Source organism: Homo sapiens, chromosome 4 (genome assembly GCF_000001405.40).
Source record: "Homo sapiens chromosome 4, GRCh38.p14 Primary Assembly".
In the NCBI taxonomy this organism is placed as follows: domain Eukaryota; kingdom Metazoa; phylum Chordata; class Mammalia; order Primates; family Hominidae; genus Homo; species Homo sapiens.
In genome coordinates this window covers 177,373,627-177,394,150 of record NC_000004.12, presented here as the reverse complement: position 1 = coordinate 177,394,150, position 20,524 = coordinate 177,373,627, and the positions used below count along the sequence as shown (strand labels likewise).

At 39.8% G+C, this 20,524-nt stretch overlaps 1 long non-coding RNA gene across 3 annotated transcripts in view, besides 2 other annotated features; it reads left to right on the top strand.

Annotated features, from left to right (window-relative positions):
• Positions 722-781: a silencer, noted in NCBI's record as "silent region_15819". NCBI's record gives its function as "represses an Ori minimal core promoter by ATAC-STARR-seq in GM12878 lymphoblastoid cells {active_cell/tissue: GM12878}" and the evidence as "EXISTENCE:reporter gene assay evidence [ECO:0000049][PMID:35858748]".
• Positions 12,797-20,524, top strand: part of LOC105377558 (uncharacterized) — a 38,644-nt gene continuing 30,916 nt past the window's right edge. Inside the window, exon 1 of one of the 3 annotated variants that reach the window (XR_007058384.1) lies at positions 12,797-12,836. This is a non-coding gene — a long non-coding RNA (uncharacterized LOC105377558). Of the gene's footprint in view, positions 12,837-16,792; positions 16,873-20,524 lie in introns of those variants that run through there. The other 2 variants (XR_001741926.2, XR_007058383.1) reach the window with 2 other exon arrangements.
• Positions 12,882-13,176: an enhancer, noted in NCBI's record as "tiled region #1546; HepG2 Activating non-DNase unmatched - State 12:CtcfO". NCBI's record gives its function as "activates a minimal TATA promoter and a strong SV40 promoter by Sharpr-MPRA in HepG2 cells {active_cell/tissue: HepG2}" and the evidence as "EXISTENCE:reporter gene assay evidence [ECO:0000049][PMID:27701403]".

Genomic DNA, 20,524 nt, shown 5'->3' with positions numbered 1-20,524 from the left:
ATTATGCCAGTGAAAGGTAATATGTAAAAATGAAATAGCTGAGCTAGGACTATTGGGAGACACTCTGGTTTTTTAAAAGACGTTGTTAACATTTGTATTTTCAGTTTTAAAATAAACCTGACTGATTCCTCAAAGCCTAGCTTTGAGTAAAATGATGATATAGAGAACATGGAGACAGTGAAGATATAGTAATACCTGCACTGCTGCCTAGAGGATTGTGAATTTTACTCTACTTTTTGTTTTGTGATCATTTACAAGCTAGTGATGAAAGGAGATTTTACATGGCTCTAAAGTTGATTCTTGTAGAGTGTAAGTTTGAATCCACAAACCCCCATATACTAAAAAATGTTGTTTACTTGAAGACAAATTAGTCTCTGAGCCCCCTTCTAACTTGCCTAATGGGGAATTCAATCTCCATCACGGTGAGTGCCCTTCTAGTTTAGGGTCCTCAACGTTCTTTGGGCAGGGAGAGACTCACCCAGAGTAGCCTAGATGGGGACAGTCCTCCTATGACCAGCCCACCTATATGCCTTACACGTGTTCATGTTCAGACCCACGTATCCTCTGAGGTTCAGGTTTGTTACTCCTGTGCCCCTCACAGCCTGGGACAAAGCTGAGACCCTCTAACTGGAGTACAGTCCACCGAGCTCACACTGCAGCAGTTTCCTTCTAGAGCACTGTGCTCAAAGGCCCTGGTCTCCCTGCCTTCTGCTCTAGTACAGACCCCTAGAGGAGCTCAGGATTCTTGAAAACAAAGATCACGAGAAAGAGTTCACCACAAACCACACTTACTCCCCGCCTTCCTTCTGCATGAAGCTTCCCTCGTGCACAGCGGCACAAAGGCCTAGCTACGTGCTTGGTCAAGTCAGAGAGAAGCAAGAGGAAAGCAACAATTCAAATCCATATAGCTATAAATTATGCAGCCAGAATAATTTTCATCTCTTGGCCCTCTAGAAAAGCAGATATGGGGTCACCAAAAATGCAGGATCTGGCCATTTCTTTCCCAATATTCCCTTTCTTCATTTTTACAGCTTTAAAATGGAAATGATCTCTGAAGGGGTTAAGCCTCATCCATTCGCTGGTGTGAATATTCTAGTTAGATGAACATCCTTCTTAATTACCAAATTAGAGATATTTGATTGGGATGGGTGGAAGGAGGAGAGATGGGATGGAGGTCAGGACTAAAGGGGGCAACCCACAGGCAGAATGGGAGAGTGGGGAAGCATTGGCTAGCAGAGGACAAACAGGAGGGCTGCAAATAGTGGTGGTTTGGAAGGTGGTAAACCTTTGATTTCCCCAACTCACGGCCTCTCTCTTAATCCAGACCACCCTAGCCCAGCTTTGTGTTTTCCCGCATCTTTCCTACTAAAAATACAAAAAACTAGCCAGGAGTGGTGGCAGGTGCCTGTAATCCCAGCTACTTGGGAGGCTGAGGCAGGGGAATTGCTTGAACCCAGGAGGTGGAGATTGCAGTGAGCTGAGATTGCACCACTGCACTCCAGCCTGGGCAACAGAGCAAGCCTCCATCTCAATAATAATAATAATAATAATAATACTATAGCATGCTTTTTTCCCTGAGATTGATCAAGAGACTCAGATACAAGCATATACAGTAGTTACTCAGAATTTCAAGGGATATAATGGTAGGGGAGACCTCTAGATGACAATTACAAGGAAGAAAACAGATTTTTTTATATAACTTACCTTCTAGCTAATTCTCCCACATTAACTAGGGCAAGAAATTCTGAAATACAAATGTGTATCATAGGAGAGATTATAGAAATGCAAATGATTAGAACTAAAGTAATGATGACTGAGGGATATGATTTCCTTGCTGGGTACAAACGTGTCACAGCACTATAGGAGAGACCCAGGGAACAGCTGTTATGTGACTAAGGAGGTATTAGCGGCATAGACAAAGGTACATGTGCTTGGTTACTCAACTTTAAAAAACAAACTATGACAAAACGCTGGAATTGTAAAGCAGAGTCAATAATCAGCAGGAAATCTGTACACTCTTTGAAAACAACCCGGAGCAAACTCAGGAAAAGTGTGTGCTATGAATCAAAAAGAAAGATTGTGTAACACCTTGCCTTTGCTGCCACCCTCCACTCTCATCTTTCTTCTGCCCACCTTTCTGCCTTCCGCTACCGCTTTTTTTCTTTTCCCATCACTACCCCCCTCCAACTTCCTATACAGAGAAACTCACAGATAGCAGTTAACTGGCAAGTAATATAGGCTAGTATTATCAAAAACATATCTTTTCAAAGATGGTAAGTTTTTCCAGATGAAAACAAGACAAAGAAAACCCACATATATTGTGGCAGGTTAGGAACAATCTAGGAATTTAGAAAGCCAGAGATAATTCAAACTGAACCTACTGGCATTCTTTTATTCTTCTCGTCTTTGTTTCCCTTATCTATCTCTCTTTGCAACCGAATTGCCCCAAATCTAAATTGTGAAGACTGCAACTTCTGGAGCATCTCCTATAAGCCAAAATAAATGTATTTCCTTTGATGCTTGAAGCAACAAATAAGATAGATATTACAACCTTTATCTTGAAAATGAAAGCACTAAAGCTCAAAGACCTTCAGTGATTTGCCCAGGGCCACCGAGCTGGCAAGTGGGCGGCAGTGGATCTTACCCCATATTTGTCTGCATTCCATTCATCACAGCCCACGGTTCCCCCCAGCAGACCTCATTGCCTCTTATCCATGTTATTGCAAGAGCTTTCCTGCTTTCAGTCTCATATTTTTCTTTCAACCCAGCCCTCACAGTACTTACAATATAATTTGCCCAATCAAAGCTTTCCTGTCTGAAATAAGTTGGGACATCTATTTGATCTGTACTTTCAGAAGAATATGGTGGACGGGAAAGGGGTCATAAGGAGTGCAATTACAGAAATCAAGAGAAAGCAGAGGCAGTGAATGACAATTGACTAACTGAATTAGGACTCTGGAAAGTTGAAGTGGAGAAGAGATGCGACAGAAGCCAAAAATGTTAGAAGGAAGGGAAGGGAGTGAAGAGATGTGGCAGTGAGCCGGCAAAATGCCATGCAGGTGAAAGGGGTGACGAATGAGGGAAACTTTAAAGGTCTAAAAGGAAGAGCAGCTAATAGGATGTATATAAAACTTCTAGAAAAGTCTACCATTTTGAGATAGTAAGTGTAAAAAACATAAATGACTTCAGGTTGGCTTTGGACACATTTATAGATCATAGTCTTATAAAATACTATTAATGGAAGCCTCTGATATTTGGAATAAACTTTAATTTTTCTGAGGTGAATATCATCAAGAACAGTTATCCTTTCTTTTTTAGAGGACACTTTGCAGCTATAGTCAGAGATAGAGTTACAGGCAGAATGGTTGAGAATCTCACCCTATGGGGAAAGGCAGCGTAGCTCAATTCTGTCTATGACTCTGCCACTGACTTACGTGGTCAGTTTACATGTTCTTTCTAAGCCTGAGGTTTAATATCTGCAAAATGAGGGGAATGATAATTTCTGCCTCAGAGAATGGTTATGAGAACTAAAAAAATATATATGTATGGGCTTGGCACAGTGTTTAGGACATGGTAAGCATTTACATGCTTACCATTTGAATATGTAACAATTGAATAATTGTTGAGTATCTGTGAGCCTTCCCTATGATTTTGAAGTAAGGAAGAAAAGCAAGGAAGCAGGTAAGGAAGAAAAAAGAGAGAAAGACAGTAAAGAAGAAAGGGAGGAAGGGAGGGAGGGAAGGAGGGAAAAGAAAGGGAGGGAAAAGGGATTTAAAAAAAAACTGGAAATAAGGCAGGAGATTTCAAACAAGAAATTTGTAGTGTAAGGAAAGTAAAACAAACTGAACATCAAAATTGCTCGGTAAACATGAAAACTGGATGTGAAAAATTAAATTAATAGAAATGATTGAAACAGAAAGTAACCAAATAATCTGACAAGTTAATGTGTCATTAGGTAACAATTTGCAAGGAAGAAAAGACAATAAAATGAAAAAAAAATGTGCAGATGTAACATATTCCCCAAGATATTCCCAAAGTGACACTAGGCACTGTCAAAGATAAAAGCCTAGTGAGCTTGAATTTACACAGCTTAGACATTCCAGCCTAGTGGTCCAATAAGAAAACAGGAAGGCGAGGACTGCAATTAGATATAAAGGTGGTTATGGAAAGAAGCACCATGCTTGGACTGGTTTAATATTGCCTCACTATTTCATAACATTCTCATGTGTAGTTACTTTAAATAACATATTTGAAACAATGGTAATAAAAAGGAAAGTGAAAATAATATTAATAAATAAAAGAAAAGCAGATATTATGAAGTCAGTTAAACATCAGGCCTGACCTTTTACTATTTGTCCGAAAGCATCGGGAGAGTTAATTTAGCCAATTTTAATGGAAACTTTAACTGCTTCATGCTCAATAAGGCTATGAAGTTGTTCCCTGTGGCAGCTCTGAAAGACAACTGTGGAAAACCAGTTATGCCTGAGACATTTATTTCCAGCCATTTCCTTTGCCTGCCTGAAATTCTTCTTCATGTCATCAATCTCTCGATATACTCTTAAAAAATCATTATCCTCTTCTTCTGACCTGGAGGAATTCTCTTTCTCTTTCAGACTCTGAAAGAGAGCAGTCACTCTTTCGTGTTATATCGACAATTTGGTAACAGCTGAGAACTACAATCTCTATGAAGGGAGAAAAATACCTTTTCCCCCATCCCCAAATTCTTATCTTAAATTCCACATAGTAAAGTGTTCAAATGATATTTTGTGAATAGTTTTATCACGGGGCATAGTTTTATCAACCAGGCTGGAGGCTAGTGAACTGTGGCCCGTGAACTGGATACAGATTGTTGACACCAGCTCTCTTAGTGTCATTAGTCATCCGAGAGTCTTGGCCATTTTTATTTCTTTAAGGGAAGAGTTTGCTCAGATATGAGAGGGTTAGCATCAAAAAATAATAGGTTGTCTTGATAAGTGTTTTAGGTTTTTCATAGGAAACGATGTTATAAACAGAAAACCTTTCTTTCTCTTTCTTTTTTTGAGATGGAGTCTCGCTCTGTTGCCAGGCTGGAGTGCAGTGGCGCAATCTCAGCTCACTGCAACCTCTGCCTCCCGGGTTCAAGCGATTCTCCTGCCTCAGCCTCCCGAGTAGCTGGGACCACAGTCATGTGCCACCATGCCCAGTTAATTTTTGTATTTTTAGTAGAGTTGGGGTTTCACCATGTTGGCCAGGATGGTCTCAATGTCTAGACCTGGTATGATCTGCCCACCTTGGCCTCCCAAAGTGCTGGGATTACAGGCATGAGCCACTGCTCCTGGCCAGGAAACCTTATTTTTATTATACTTACTATTAACCTTTGCTTCATGGTCTAATTTTCATCAGGAAATTCTGTCACTCATATAGAGAGAGCTATTTTGTCATTTATAGAAACAAGTTTAACTCTTTGTCCATATGATGCCAGACTATCCTACCAAGTAAAATTCAAAATCTAGCAAAGTGCTATGTGGGAGGAGCAATGTAATAAATTGCAATATGATTTTCTGTACCTTCTTATTAGAAAATATAAGAAAAATGTATATTCTTTTCCAACAACAAGTTCATATATTAATTAATAATCATTTTAAGGCCGGGCACCGTGACTCACCCCTGTAATCCCAGCATTTTGGGAGGCCTAGGTGAACAGATCACTTGAGTCTAGGTGCTTGAGACCAGCCTGGGCAACATGGTGAGATACTATCTCTACAAAAATACAAAAAAAAAAAAAAAAAAAAAAAAATTAGCAGGGCCTGGTGGTGCGTGCCTGTAGTCCCAGCTACCCAGGGGCTGAGGTGAGAGGATCACCTGATCCCAGGAGGAGGTTGCAGTGAGCCAAGATTGCATCACTGGCCAGGCGTGGTGGCTCACACATGTAATCCCAGCACTTTGGGAGGCTGAGGCAGTCGGATCACCTGAGGTCAGGAGTTCAAGACCAGCCTGGCCAACATGGTGAAACCCTGTTTCTACTAAGAATACAAAAATTAGCTGGGTGCAGTGGTGCGTGCCTGTAATCCCAGCTATGCGGGAAGCTGAGGCAGGAGAATTGCTTAAACCCAGGGGCAGAGGTTGCGGTGAGCTGAGGTCGCACCACTGCACTCCAACATGGGCGACAGAGCGAGACTCTGTCTCAAAAAAAAAAAAAGTCTGAAAAGATTTCTTAAAGAATGTAAGATTTGAATGAGTTAGAAGAGTCATAGATAAGTGTGCTTAGCACATCAAAGAACTTGGGGAAAGTTAGAATAATAAAACAAGGAAGAAGAGGCCATAGCATTCAAAACTGGTTCAAATACCATAGAGACAAGACCAATGTTTCTCAACCTTGTTCTTAGTAGAAACACCCAGGAACCTTTAAAAAAAAAACACTGACTCCTGGGCCACACTTTCAATGGTTCTGATTTCAGTGGTCTGGTTGGGACCTAAGCATATGTTTTTTTTTTTTTTTTTTTTTTTTTTTTTTTTTTGAGACGGAGTCTCACTCTGTCACCCAGGCTGGAGTGCAGTGGCATAATTTTGGCTCACTGCAACGTCCACCTCCTGGGTTCAAGCGATTCTTCTGCCTCCACCTCCTGGGCAGCTGGGACTACAGGAGTGCGCCAACACGCCTGGCTAATTTTTTGCATTTTTAGTAGAGACAGGGTTTCACCATCTTGGCCAGGCTGGTCTCGAACTCCTAACCTTGTGATCTGCCTGCCTCGGCCTCCCAAAGTGCTGGGATTACAGGCATGAGCCACCACACCTGGCCAGCATACGTATTTTTTTTTTTTTTTTTTTTTTTTGAGACGGAGTCTTGCTTTGTCGCCCAGGCTGGAGTGCAGCGGCGTGATCTTGGCTCACTGCAAGCTCCGCCTCCCAGGTTCACGCCATTCTCCTTCCTCAGCCTGCCGAGTAGCTGGGACTACAGGCAGCCACCACCACGCCCAGCTAATTTTTTTGTATTTTTAGTAGAGACGGGGTTTCACTGTGTTAGCCAGGATGGTCTCGATCTCCTGACCTCATGATCCGCCCGCCTCGGCCTCCCAAAGTGCTGGGATTACAGGCGTGAGCCACCGCGCCCGGCCCAGCATATGTATTTTTTAAAAGCTACCTGTGTGTGGTGGCTCACGCCTGTAATCCTAGCTACTTGGGATGCTGAAAGTGGGAGAATTGCTTAAACCCAGGAGTTAGAGACCAGCCTGAGAAACATAGATGCATCTCAAGATATGTAAGTATATGTGTGTGTGTATATGTAATGTCCATGTATATGTATATATGTATGTAAATGTGTGTATATATGTAATGTATATGTATATATGTATGTATATATAATATATGGATATGGATATGTATGCATATATGTTTGTGTGTGTGTATGTGTGTGTATGTATGTGTATATATAAAAGCTCTCTACATTGTTTTAATTGGCAACCAGGGTTTGAAATCCCCTGCATCAAGGCAGCACTTCTCCAAGTGTGGTGCACCGGGGCCCGGGGGTTCCGGAAACACTCTCACATGGTCTGTGACGTCATAACTCTTTTCATAGTAATGCTAGGGCATTGTTTGCCTTTTCCTTGTGTTGATATCTGCAGTGATTCTCTGTGTTGACATTTGGTGCAAAAACAATGATGGGTAAAACTGCTGGTGCCTCAGCACACATCAAGACGGTGACACCAAATTGTACTAATTATCATCATTTGTTTTTGCAGCTACACACTTGCAGTTAAAAAAAAAAATTAGTTTCTCTTAAGAATGTCCTTGATGATGAAGCAGGAAAAATATTAATTTGATTAAATGTCAACCCTTCACTTTGTGTTCTTTGACAAAATGAGAATTATGCATGAATTGTATCTGCTGCATACTAAAGTATGTCTTGAGGAAAAACACTTGTGTGATTGAGTTGTGAGCTAAAATTAGCCAGTGTTTTCGTAAACACTCTTTTTACTTGAAAGAATGGCTAACACACAAACTATACAGACTTGGATATTTGGCAGAGATTTTATTGAAAATAAATGATGTAAGCCTGATACCTCAAGGGAATAGCTGTCAGTATGTATTATTGTCAGCAGTAAAATTAGAGCTTTCATGTACAAATTACATTTTGAAATACATCCACAACCATGGGATTTAACAGCTTCCCACTACTTAGAGACTTTTCTTATGAGATCAGTAATTATAAGTATTTTTATATTGTATAATAAAATCATCAACATTTGTAAGAGCTGCATAATCAATTAGTCAATATTTTCCAAATGCCTGGATGTACAATATTATGCATGAACAAAAGACCCCTATTTGATCACAAGACAGAGCAGTGGAACTTCATGCAGCACACAAAAACAAGTTCATTGATGTGGTTTCAGTTTCTACATTGCATATTGCTTTAAGAAATTATCACTTGTCAAGTTTTGGTGTCATATCAAAGAAGGAAATTCAACATTATCTGAGAAGGCGATTAAAATATTCTTCTCTTTTCCAGTTGCATAGCTGTGTGAAGTATGTGTGGAATTTTTCTTTAGGAACTTAAACCAAAAGAAGACATTGCCACATGGAATTCAGAAGCAGAAATAAGAATCCAACACTCTTAAGCCAGCCATTAAAGAGATTTGCATAAATATAAAACAATATAACTCTTCTTGCTTTGTTTTTGTTTTGAAAAAATAGTTTTTTAATAAAAATATTTTATGTCAACATGTGAAGGGTTTATAAGTAGATATTTTTGTAATGTCTCCATTTTAATTTTTAATATAATGAATAGTGATAGATAGAATGAACACACATCAACATTTTGGTTCTCATTAATTTTTAAAAATGTAAAGGAGTTCTGAGGTCAAAACATTTGAGAACTGCTGCTCTAAACCGAAGGGGCAGGTGGCAAAGCCTGGCTAGATGAGTGCTGTAATGCTGTTGAGTAAACAGAAAGAAACCGAGGGAGCGGAAATGGAATTTAATACAGAAGTCCAAAGGAAGCCAGTAAGATTTTGACATAGTCAAGCAGAACTGAAAGACCAAAGAGATGATTTTCACAGTGGAGAAAATTACAGTCATTCAGCTATGAGATAGATGAGTGTGACCTGAACCAGAGATTTGATTCTGATATGTAGAGAGGAAGATGCAAACATTTTGACCGCTGTAGGGAAAATTGTTCTGATTTTTACAGCAAGGAGTCAGAATTTACTCTGAGATGCTGTCATTGAGTGACTGCTACTGACACATATGTGATGATATCTAAGGGGTTGGGAAGAGGCTAGGTCTTGAGGAGGAATGTTAGAAAGCACATCATGCTTTGCTTGGTACTGTTGTTGTTTATTGCCTAAAAATTCTTTGTGATAACTTGGCTGACTGCTATCTTTATAGTTATATCAGGTGATTGTTATGTTTGACACACTGAATGAGGATCTTTTTTTTTTAAACATTTATTTATTTATTATTATTATTTTTTGAGAAGGAGTCTCACTCTGTCACCCAGGCTGGAGTGCGGTGGTGCAATCTCGGCTCACTGCAACCTCCGCCTCCCAGGTTCAAGCAATTCTCCTGCCTCAGCCTCCTGAGTAGCTGGGATTACAGGTGTGTGCCACCACGCCCAGCTAAGTTTTGTATTTTTAGTAGAAACATGTTGGCCAGGCTCATCTCAAACTCTTGATGTCAGGTGATTCGCCTTCCTTGGCCTCCCGAAGTGCTGGGATTACGGGCATGAGCCACCACGCCCCGCCTGAATGAGGATCTCCTAATATACCTCCTTAGTTCTGTTTATCCTCTTGGTCTTGGGTGTGTTATACAATGTACATTTCCAGGTTTGATATCTGGAACAGTGGGAGAAACCTGTCCCTATGGTCTGAATATTGGCATCCCCCCAAAATTCACATGCTGGAACCTGATATTATTAAGTAGTGGGGTCTTTTGTGAAACAAGTCATTTTATAAGGCTCCAACCTCATGAATGGGATTAATACCCTTATAAAAGGGGCTGAACAGAGCTGCCTTATCCTTCTGCCGTGTGAGGATGCAGTAACGAGGTGCCATCTTGGTAGCGGAGATCAGGCTTTCACCAGACACCAAATCTACTGGAACCTTGATCTCAGACTTCTCAGTCTCCAGAACTGTGAGTAAGAAATGTATTGTCTTTATAAATTACACAGCCTGGGGTATTTTTGTTGTAGCAGTAGGACTAAGCCACCTACCATGAATCTCTTAAGTGGAGCTGAAACCATGAAAGAAGGACTCTCTTCTCCATTTGGGGTCTAAGGAGCATCAAACCATGCTCAGGGAAAGGTAGAGAATTGAGCTTATGAGCTAAAAGTTGTAGAGAACAAGATATTTTCAATCTTTGGGATATGATCTGTTTTTGAGAAAGTTAAGTTTGTTACTTTACTCTGTAACACTTAAGTCGGTTTCATATAATACATACAAGGGCTGATTGTGGCATGCTGCTCTTGCTTAAACGTGCTTCTTAGGAAATACCTCTTGAAAGTCAGATCGCCACATTATATTTGCATCATATGTTATGCCTGGAGTATTGTCCTTTGAAATAGATTGGACAGAGTATGCTATTCACAGAAGAGCAATAAGCAACCAGCTTGATAGAGTTACAGAATTTTAGCTCTCAAGGAGAGAATGCCAAAGTAAGTTATCATAGACTACTCTTGAAAAATAAAAGAGCCCGTTAAGATCAAGTAGAGTATGAAAAACGAAAAACCCTCTCTCCTTGACTAAACACTCATTTATTAAGCAGTAGTTTTTACATTCTCCAGGTACAGCTGAAAAGTTTTTCTATAGTCTCAGAACTAAGGTGACATTTCCCTGACCACCTATTTATAACTTTTCTTCCAATCCTTTGCAGTCATCAGATTCATGCATAGTAGCCATGTATATAGTTGTGGATTGTTGAACTTGTGCAGGTTGTCATTTGCAGCTGCTAGAAAAAGGACATGCGCTCTACTTCTTGAGGGATGAATGTAAAAAGTCTTTTAAAAAATGTTACTTAATGTCATAGATTTCCTAATATCAGGTTCATTCTGTGATGCTATTTAAGAGAAAATAATTTCAAATCAGCCTCAGTTATAATGCATCCCTGAAATTATGTTGGAGATATATCAAGATCAATGAGGTCAAAACAGTCAATGAATCAATTTTCTAAGAAGGGCAATGCTGAAGACAGTATCAGGGGCTCACGAAGCGACTGACACTTCAACTTTGTAATATACTATGATGTTTAAGTAATTTATCAGTGATCTCAAAGATCTAAAATAATAGTACTTATGGTGGAATAATAAAATTGTATGAGATCATAAAGACATTTGCATTCCCAAATTATTTATTGTAAGATTTCTTTCTGATTAATAAAGACTTCTTTACATCATTAAAACACTGCCACTGAAGAAGTACTTCTCTGGAGGAGGCACACTAATAAGATTTAACTTGCTCAATGCAGGTGGGTAGATGGTGACAGAGGAAGCTAATGGAAGTTCTCTTCTGATTGCTTCTGTTTCTTTAGTGACATAGGATATAGACAATTGAAAGTGAGGATATGGAAGGCTTTTAGAGGTTTGATGTTCTAGGACAAAAGAGAATATTTAAAATAAATCCATAGTTTTATTTTAATATTTTAAATCTATAGTTTTATCTATAGGTGCAGTGGCTCATGCCTGTTATCCCAGTGTTTTGGGAGGATGTGGTGGGAGGCTCACTTAAGGCTAGAAGTTTGAGACCAGCCTGGGAAACACAGTAAGACCCTCCCTGTCTCTACACAAAAATAAAATAAATAATTAAATTTAAAATGAGACCAACTATGTGATTGAGAGTGTTTTCTGATCAATTTAGATTCAGAGATGCTGATGATGGCAGCGGCGGACCGTCCAGGGCAGCCACTGCCATCACACTGGCTGCTGTGAGGAGGACGCAGGAAGGAGGCAGAGCTGGGCCTGGGGCATTGCCATGTTCCACACTGCCGGTGGGAGCCAGGGACAAGTGGGAGACCTCCCAGAGCCTCCTGCCCTGGGGGCTGCCACGATGGGGCCAGGCTAAGCCACCTGTTTGCAGGGGAGCAGCCCAGTCAGGCATGGAAGGGCAGACAGAGAGGGGCCCAGTGAGGACCTGGAGCCCCAACCCCAGGCTGTAAGGAGGTGTGGCCGGGGCTGCCTGCATGCGCCATGGAGTGGGCAGGAGTCCCGCCCTCCCAGGCACAGGACCCAGGCATCTCTGTAGTCTGCACCCTCCGGGCCCAGGAAAGCCCTCTCTGTTCCTACTGCCTGGCCTCTCCCCACTCCAGGAGCCCACTCTGATATTAGAGTGCGGTTGGGGCCAAGCCCAGGTGCTGTCACAGCCTGGCCCGGTTTGCACACACTCGGGGAAGTGCTAACACACCATGCCCCTGACCACACTATGGGCAAATTAAGCTAATATATAAAGAGTACCCTTAAAGCAAAAGAAAATGCCAAAAAAAAAAAAAAAAAAAAACCCAAATGTAGAAAAAGGATATATAAACTTACCTAAAACAAAATAAAAATTTAAACATATGAGTGATAAGTGACAGGAGGCAGTCAAATGCCTAGGCAGATAGGGGCCGGTCCCTTGTGATATCCCACCTTCAAGTCAAAAACAGCCTGAAGGCTGAAAGACTGGACTGCTGGTTCCGGATGAAAAACGTGACCCAGAGTGGGAACTTCCGTTCCTGTTTGCCTGTCCTTTCCTGATTGGTTCTTTCTGAATAATGCTTTTTAACCAATGGAATGTTACGTTTTCCAATACTACCTTTGGCCCGCCCCTCCCCCATCTATGAGTATAAAAATCCTAGACTCAGCCATACTGGGGGAGATGACCCAACTTCAGGTGAGAGACTACCTTCCTGTCCCCTCTCCACTAAGAGCTGTTTTGTCATTTAATAAAATTCTCTGCCCTGATCACCCTTCAGTTGTCAGCATGACCTCATTCTTCATGAATGTGGGACAAGAGCTCAGGACCCAGCAAACATGGGTGCCTGGAAAGGCTGCAACACTGTGGCCCTCTGCCTTTGCCAGCAGAGGGCAGCTGCTCCATGCACCGGAAGCAGTGGCGGGGCCGAGGTAGTCCCGCAGCCGTGGACTAGAGCAGGGCAAGGGGCTGATTGAGCTGCTAACACACCACTGTCCATTGGGCTGTGGGGAGCAGAACTAAAAGAGCTAATTAGCACACTGTGACACCCCCTCTGGGGCTTCGGGGTCACGGGCATCCCTGCCTGAGTGGGTCACCACATTCCCCTTGGGGTGACACCTCGTTTGGCCGCGGGCCGCACATGGAGCCTGCTCCTATGTTGATGCTGGGAGCAGCTGGCCAGACCCCGCACTCGCTCACTCACATGCTGCCTCTCACCGCAGTCACAGTGGCTGTGGGATTCGCGCCAGAGACTTGCCCTCAGGCGCGGCTAGGTGCGCTGAGTAGATGCGGTGGTCTTCTACCGCGAGCCCAGCAAAGGGGCTCAGAAAAATTCCTGCATCATAAGGAAAAGCAAAGCTAGGAAAGACAGTCAATAAAATAAAAACAGAAACATCAGGAGATTAATTCACTCTGGAAGAAAGACAAATAATAGTATGCTGAAAATTACATTAAAATAAGTATGTTTAGGAGTCTCAGTGAAGGAACATAGCAAACACATGTTAAAATAGCAATGGTTAGGGAAAAGAAACAGATAACATTTTTGAAAAGAAAAGCAGACAAAATCTAAATATATGCAATAACCTTGGGACTAGGCAAAATTAAATAGAGACTAAATAAATTAAAATATTAATTTAAAAGGAATTCACCTCCCATGCAGGACATAAGGATATTAAAAATATAAAACAGAACATTAACGGAAGGAATGGATTAAGTAAGGAAGCTGAATGAAAATAAATCCACATCTTTTCACTGTGCAGGTTAAATTTACAACGTAAAAGACAGAAAAATCTTCAAAGTTATTCCAAGCACTGAGAGATGGTATCTGGAAGATAATGCAGACTTAGACTCTAGGAAATGATCGTGGGTCGAGGAATAAGGCATGACAAAGCTAATCCTCCAGGCTCGTAGAGTGGGCATCAAACACACATGCACTGCCAGGCAGGTGACATAAATGTGAGAAGTAAAATGGGTGTGAGCTAGAAAGTTGTTTAAGGACAATCGATGTTCTTTCAGTGTTGGAGGGACAACAAGGAATAGTTAGGGCTGGGACGAAAGTGATCAAGTACCTTACAGAAAGAGGGAGCCCATGGGGGAATGTGGATCCATCTCTGATTTTTAAAGAGGATCCATAAATCTAGGCTTTTCAAGTGACACCTTCCAATTATAAATATTGACAAGTAATTTAAAATATGGCTCAATACAAAACGAGGCAGGCCAGAGAGCATGTGGTGAGGGCTGGATTTGCTACCGTTCACTTCGGAGAAATGTGCACAATTAGTGAAACCTTACAGCCCTGAACAGGCTTGATGTGACTATAACGGTTTCTTTGACCTATTTCTTCCTTTGTCAATAACAAGCTATTTAAGTCAATATCAAAAGAAATGTAAAATGCAGTCTGTATTGTGAGACTCTAGCAAGACTTTCCCATAAGAAGGAGGCCATGTACAGAGACAGGGTTGTTGCCTTTTCCCCCTGTAGTTGAAAACTGTGCCTGATGTTGTTAGATTGGGTACAATTAAATCTACACATTCCAAAACACTTTCATTATAGACTCATGCAAAATTATATTTGGCTTTATTGTTTTCTTTTCAACTAAATAAAATGACCAGGTCAGCTACATCTTGCAGTAATAAGTATAAACTATCAATGAATTTTGAAATGATGTGTGATTTCTGGTGATATAGTACTTTTCCATTAAAGAAAGTTAATTAGAAACCACAAAAATATTAATGCATTGAAAATTACCTATAATTTAATAACACCTTTTTGGTGAAAAAGGGTCATTTTAAAATGCTCATTTTACTACTTTATTTTGTTCACTTTTTGTTCTTAGGACAATATTCCACACATGGGTATCATTTAATGAGAAACCTAAGTATCATAACATAACAATTACAATGACACAATGTTACTAAATCTATGTTTCTTCTAATGACTGGAAGTAATTCACTTAGCACTCAGTTCTCATTTTTCCTATTCTTTTTATGTATAACATTATACAAAGTTGTGTTATTTATATAATGGAATATGGTAAAAGGTAATTTTGATGATATTTTTGTGACAGAAGGAAGAGGACGAATCCACCTTTCTCAGTTACAAGTGCTCTGGTTTTACTTGGCCTAAAGAGACCTTCTTTTGGTTAAATATTTTACTAGAAATATTTCAGGTTTTCAGCTAATAGAAATGTCTCAAGCATTACGCTGCTGTAATAAATCACTTAAATTGCCAGGTTATATTTTACAGCTCCAGTTGCTTGAATATTTATTGTAAAGCACCAAGTACAATAATTTCCATTTTTATAATTAATGAGGAGATCTGGAAAAATAATTCTAATTGGTAAGGCAGGAATGATTGCAATCTATTCTTAACATGTTGTCTAAGTCCTTATGTATCCTTCTGTTTCTCATGAACACACTCTAATTAGAAGATCAGAAGAAGTATACTTGTTAAAAGCTGAGCCTCAGACACCTTAATGGTGAGGTGAGCCTCCAGGAGTAAGATACCGTTTGGATTATATTATGCATGCCCTTATTTCCAAAGCACAGCTCTCTTTTTGGTGCGTTTTTCTATAATTTTTAAAATATTTCCCAGTCTTGCCTCATTGCCTCTTTCATGAGTGCAATTAATCCTGATTTTGGATCTCCCAGTGAATCCCATGGATTCTCACGAGAATATATGATGATTATATTGGTCTCAAACCTATTTCAAGGCAGATACCTTTTTTAGTTCCTAGTTTGAATCTGTTATCTCCCTAAACTTTGTCAATTTGTTCTTCATTTTTTAAAGAATGTCATTTACCTTCCAGTTATGCCTGATCATGATTTGGTTTTGCTTCTTTTTTTCCTTCAGATTTTCTCATTTTATTTTTCTCCCAAGGCCAAAAATAGTTGTTATCCTTGACTTGAACTTGCCATTTCCCCCTCTTCATGTCATCCACTCCTGAGCATTTCTAATATACCCCCTACCAGCATCTTGCCTATGCTGAGATTCTTATTTATATCTTAATCATTTTCTGTATCAAATCCTACCTCTACCTCATTTATAGCCTTCTTAAATCTTTAATCTGCGAGTTTCAGAAGATCTAGAATTCTGATGCTATACTATGTTACCTCTCCATTTTTCAAAGCTCCATATTCCTGACCTTTCTATAATCTTTGATGGCTTCTTCATCCATTTTTTTTAACTCTCAGTTACCAGGTTACTTGCTTTATTCTTGATACCCTTTAACTTTCTCTTACCCTTCTCTTGAAATAGTTCCATTAAAAATTACCATGTAAAGTACCTAATTTCCATTGTGTGTCTATGAAGCGGATTTTCACAGCATCATTCGACATTATGCAAGTTGAATTCCAGGGCGTGTGCCAGAACATGTTAGGAGCCGAATATAAAACGTTAGGCTGCAGATAGGGTACCAGTGTGTTACTGAATTGATTCCTCGATGCTGTTACTATGAACATGGATGAGTATTTTATGCTATAAGAAAGGGATGACTGTAAATCTGGACAAGATATGACAGCTCTTATATGTTGGATTCTCGGTCTTTGCTTTTTGAAGTTTCCTGCATTTTTCTGTGTTTTCTAGTTTTTATCAGCATGGATACCAATAAGCCACTCTCAACTTACCTCTGATTTCTGCTTTCATTTTCTGAAAGTCTTGAATATCAGACGATCAGTTTTATGAAAAGAATGTACAAAGAGCAAATCAGCAGAATCTGATCCTCATCTTTAAGACGGTAGGAGTTCACCCCCAAAATAAGTTATAGAAATGGAGTGCCGGGATTTGGGGATTTATATTTTACCTTGTCAAAAGCATGTTTTACTTACTGCACAGTGTTCTGCTTACATGAGATTGTCAGATACCTGGGTTCATATTCAAATAACATTTAGTAGACATTATTAAAGCTGTTATTGAGGATCTCAAAGTATGTGACAATTTTATTCAACCTCTAAAGTGCAGATAACATGGCCACTCATTTAGATAAAGAGAATTTCTTCATGATACGATATTTTAGAAAGTTATTTTTTAAAATTAAAACATACGGAGGTATTTGTAGTTCTGTTTTTCCATTTCTGGTAAAGTTCTTTAGGTTATGTGTCAAGAAATTATAGTTCTTGGGCTGTAATCTGCTCCTCTAATATATCGAAGATGTTGGCATAACTTGCATTCCAGGCCCCTGATGAAAAATTCACACAAAGGTCTCCTACTCTTTGTTAGGAGTTATAAATGAATGAGTCTCTGCCACCACCTCTCTGAGATGAAGGAATAGACCGTAGGAAAGGCAAAGAAAAGCGTAGTTGGTGCCCCCCGTAAGTTATTTGTCAGGCATGGTTAGTACTGGGGAGAGCAGGAAAGTCACCCCAGGAGTTTTGAGATAAAGTTGTCCTCTGAGAATAAAATCAAGAAGATTCAAAACGTAATGGATGAGATTAGTTATCTGTGGAAATGACATACCCCAAGGAACAGACAAAAAGATTTTGTGGAGAAATTCAGAACACCCTGAGGAATTTGACAATAGCAGAAGCTTGATTGTATCCATATATTTCTAGCAACAATCTAATCACAGTAAATGGATGAAGCTGTAACACAATCAAGCAGTAACTTAATCAGTTATAGTGAATAGATTAAGTACTCTAATCACAATCAATTGCATTGTAACCCACCTGAAGAAAAAAAGTTCTAACTGAAGGATTGGGGGGTGTCTACAAGGAAAGGGGAACCTGAGAAGCCAGAATTTGTATGTGACTTCAGCTCCCTCCAGCGTAAGATGTGTGGCCACTGTGCTCCACTTAGCAAGCTGGTGGAAACAAGGGCTGTTTCCATAGTAATTTGGATTTCAAAAGCTTTATTCGTGTGTCCATTTGTCTACAGGGAGAGAATGCCTTTACCAGCAAAGCAGCAAAATGCCAAGGATTGCATTTTTAGAAATACAATAACAGGCAAAGAGCAGCTAGGAAAATTAATAAAGGAATAGGATACATATTCACTCAACAATCATTTATGGAATGCCAATTACACTCAAGCCACTGGCCTAGGCACAGGGGATTCAGTGTTGAAGAAGAGAAAATCCATGCCCTTATAGTGCATTCATTTAAAAAAGAAAGATAGGTATTCATCAACAAGATTTACATGATTTCATTACAATTGTGATTATTTCTAGGAAGAACATATACAGGATTTACCTGAACTGAGAAAAATCACAGGGGCTCCTGAACTGACCTGAGGTTTAGAGAAAGCTTTTCTGAGGATTCTTTTGTTTGATTTATGCATATCTTATTGAAGGGAAAAGAAAGAATGAGGGAATCAATATAGTTAGCTGAGGGAGTAACATTAGGCTAACATTGTGAATAAAGTGGGTGACAATAAGTAGCTCAAAAACGATCTGTGACAAAGCAATTATTTGCATACAGAGCGTTTTGAAAGACTATTGCTCATGTTTCTTTAAGAGTGGCATCAAGAGAGGCTTACATAGTAATCCACATTCCAGAAATGATGTACTATTTAGAAATGAACTACTTCCGATCTTTTTTGAACTGATAACTAACAGCTTTGAAGATTTTCACCACTGGAGTTGACCATGGATCAAAATTATCTATGTTCATTCCTGAAACAAAATGAGGGTGCTGGAAACATGCTGTAGTTACAGCCCCATTGGAAAGCACTGGACAATCAGCTATAGCAGATAAGACCAATTTGAGGATGCAAGACCATAAGGCATGGAGGTAGAATGATTGCAATGTGATGCTGAAATAGGGCATTCTCTTGTAATTTCCTATCTGAGGCAGAGAAGGGTTATTGAAAAGTTTTAGATCAACCATGCACATGCTCTAAGTGGGCCTCAAGGGCACTCAGGCAGAAGCTGCATTACCCAGGAATGCGTTAGGAGTTGGAGAGCCAGGACATAAAATATGAAGTGCTAAAACACTGCAGTGTGTGAGATACAAGCAAAGCGCCAGCATATGTCCGACCCCAGTCACACATCCTAACAGAAAGCGAGCAGGAGCCGAGGAAGCAGTGGACAGATGAAAGAAAAAATGTACCTCCTTGCGAAAATACAAATAAAATGTTTTGGGAAGAAGCACTCATAGGTTGTAAAGAAAGCCAATTAATTGACTGTTGCCAGGATTATAATGCATTATGCATTTGTTCTTTAAGTGTGTTTCCCTTAAGCTTTTATTGAGAAATTATTTGTTTGGGAGGTATTCACTAAATATTATGGGGGTTATTAAATCTTGCCTTTTTGAAGATTATAGTTTACATAAGCAAGATTTGGTGTGAAAGCAATTCAACAGATAGACAATCAGCATCAACAAAAGAGATAAAAAAGAAGGAAGAAAGGAAGTAGGGGAAGAAAGGAAAGGAGGGAGGGAAAAACAGAAAGGAAGAGAAAAGGAAATTCAGCGGCCTTGTGCACGAACAGCAGTGTGACATTTTTCCCCTGGGTTGCTAGCTTCTCTGATCTTCTCTCCTCTATCTTAACTTCAGTGAAACTTTTTTTTCTTGTTAGTTTTCAGCCCCTGTGAATTGTTCAATTGACCTTCAAGACAGGATGCTTCACACTCTGAGATTAGTACAATTTGTTTTGTTTTCTTCTAGAAGTCTATGGGGGAGTTTTAATCAAGCAGTTTTCATGGGAATTTACATGTATAAAAGTAAGAATACCTCATTTTAAACAATTGTATAGTGAACTAACCACTGACCTAAAAGAAAGAGAGGGCAGAAAGAAAAGCAGATTTAAGAGTGATGGACAGGGAAACACAGCAGAGAGCGGTCTTTTCAGTACTGCTTTGAAAAGACACAAGAAGCTGAAAACAACTGGAGCTAATCTGAAGGGATTGGGGATGATTATACTATTTAATTATGCAAATGGTGAATGCGGAAACTTTTTGAGAAATGTATTTTAGATTTGGAAAGGGATTTTAGAGATCTTCTAATACAACCTTCTCGTCTTATGGCTGAAGACTCTGAGATCCAAGAGAAGTTCTGTATCTTGGCAGAGTTTCATATATTTGTTAGCAATCATATGTATTGTTATTATTATTATTAATGATTATTTAGTGGCAGAGCTGAAATGAGAAATCAGGTTGCCTGACTCCCACTGCACTCACTGTTCTTTTTTCAACCTCACATTTCAATTCCATTTTAAATGAATTAACCCACGTATTACAACACATTTCAAAAAAGAAGTCTCACATGTGTGTTCCAATGTAGTATATTAAAATGTTATCTAAAACACAAGCAAATACTTTTTCCTCCAGAGGACAGGGGTCCTCAAATTTGAGAATGCACAAGGATTACCAGGAGAGCTTGTTGGACAGCAAACATTCCTGGGCCTTAATCCCGGACAGTCTAAGCAGCTCTAAGCTGGTGCTGATGCTGCTAGTTCA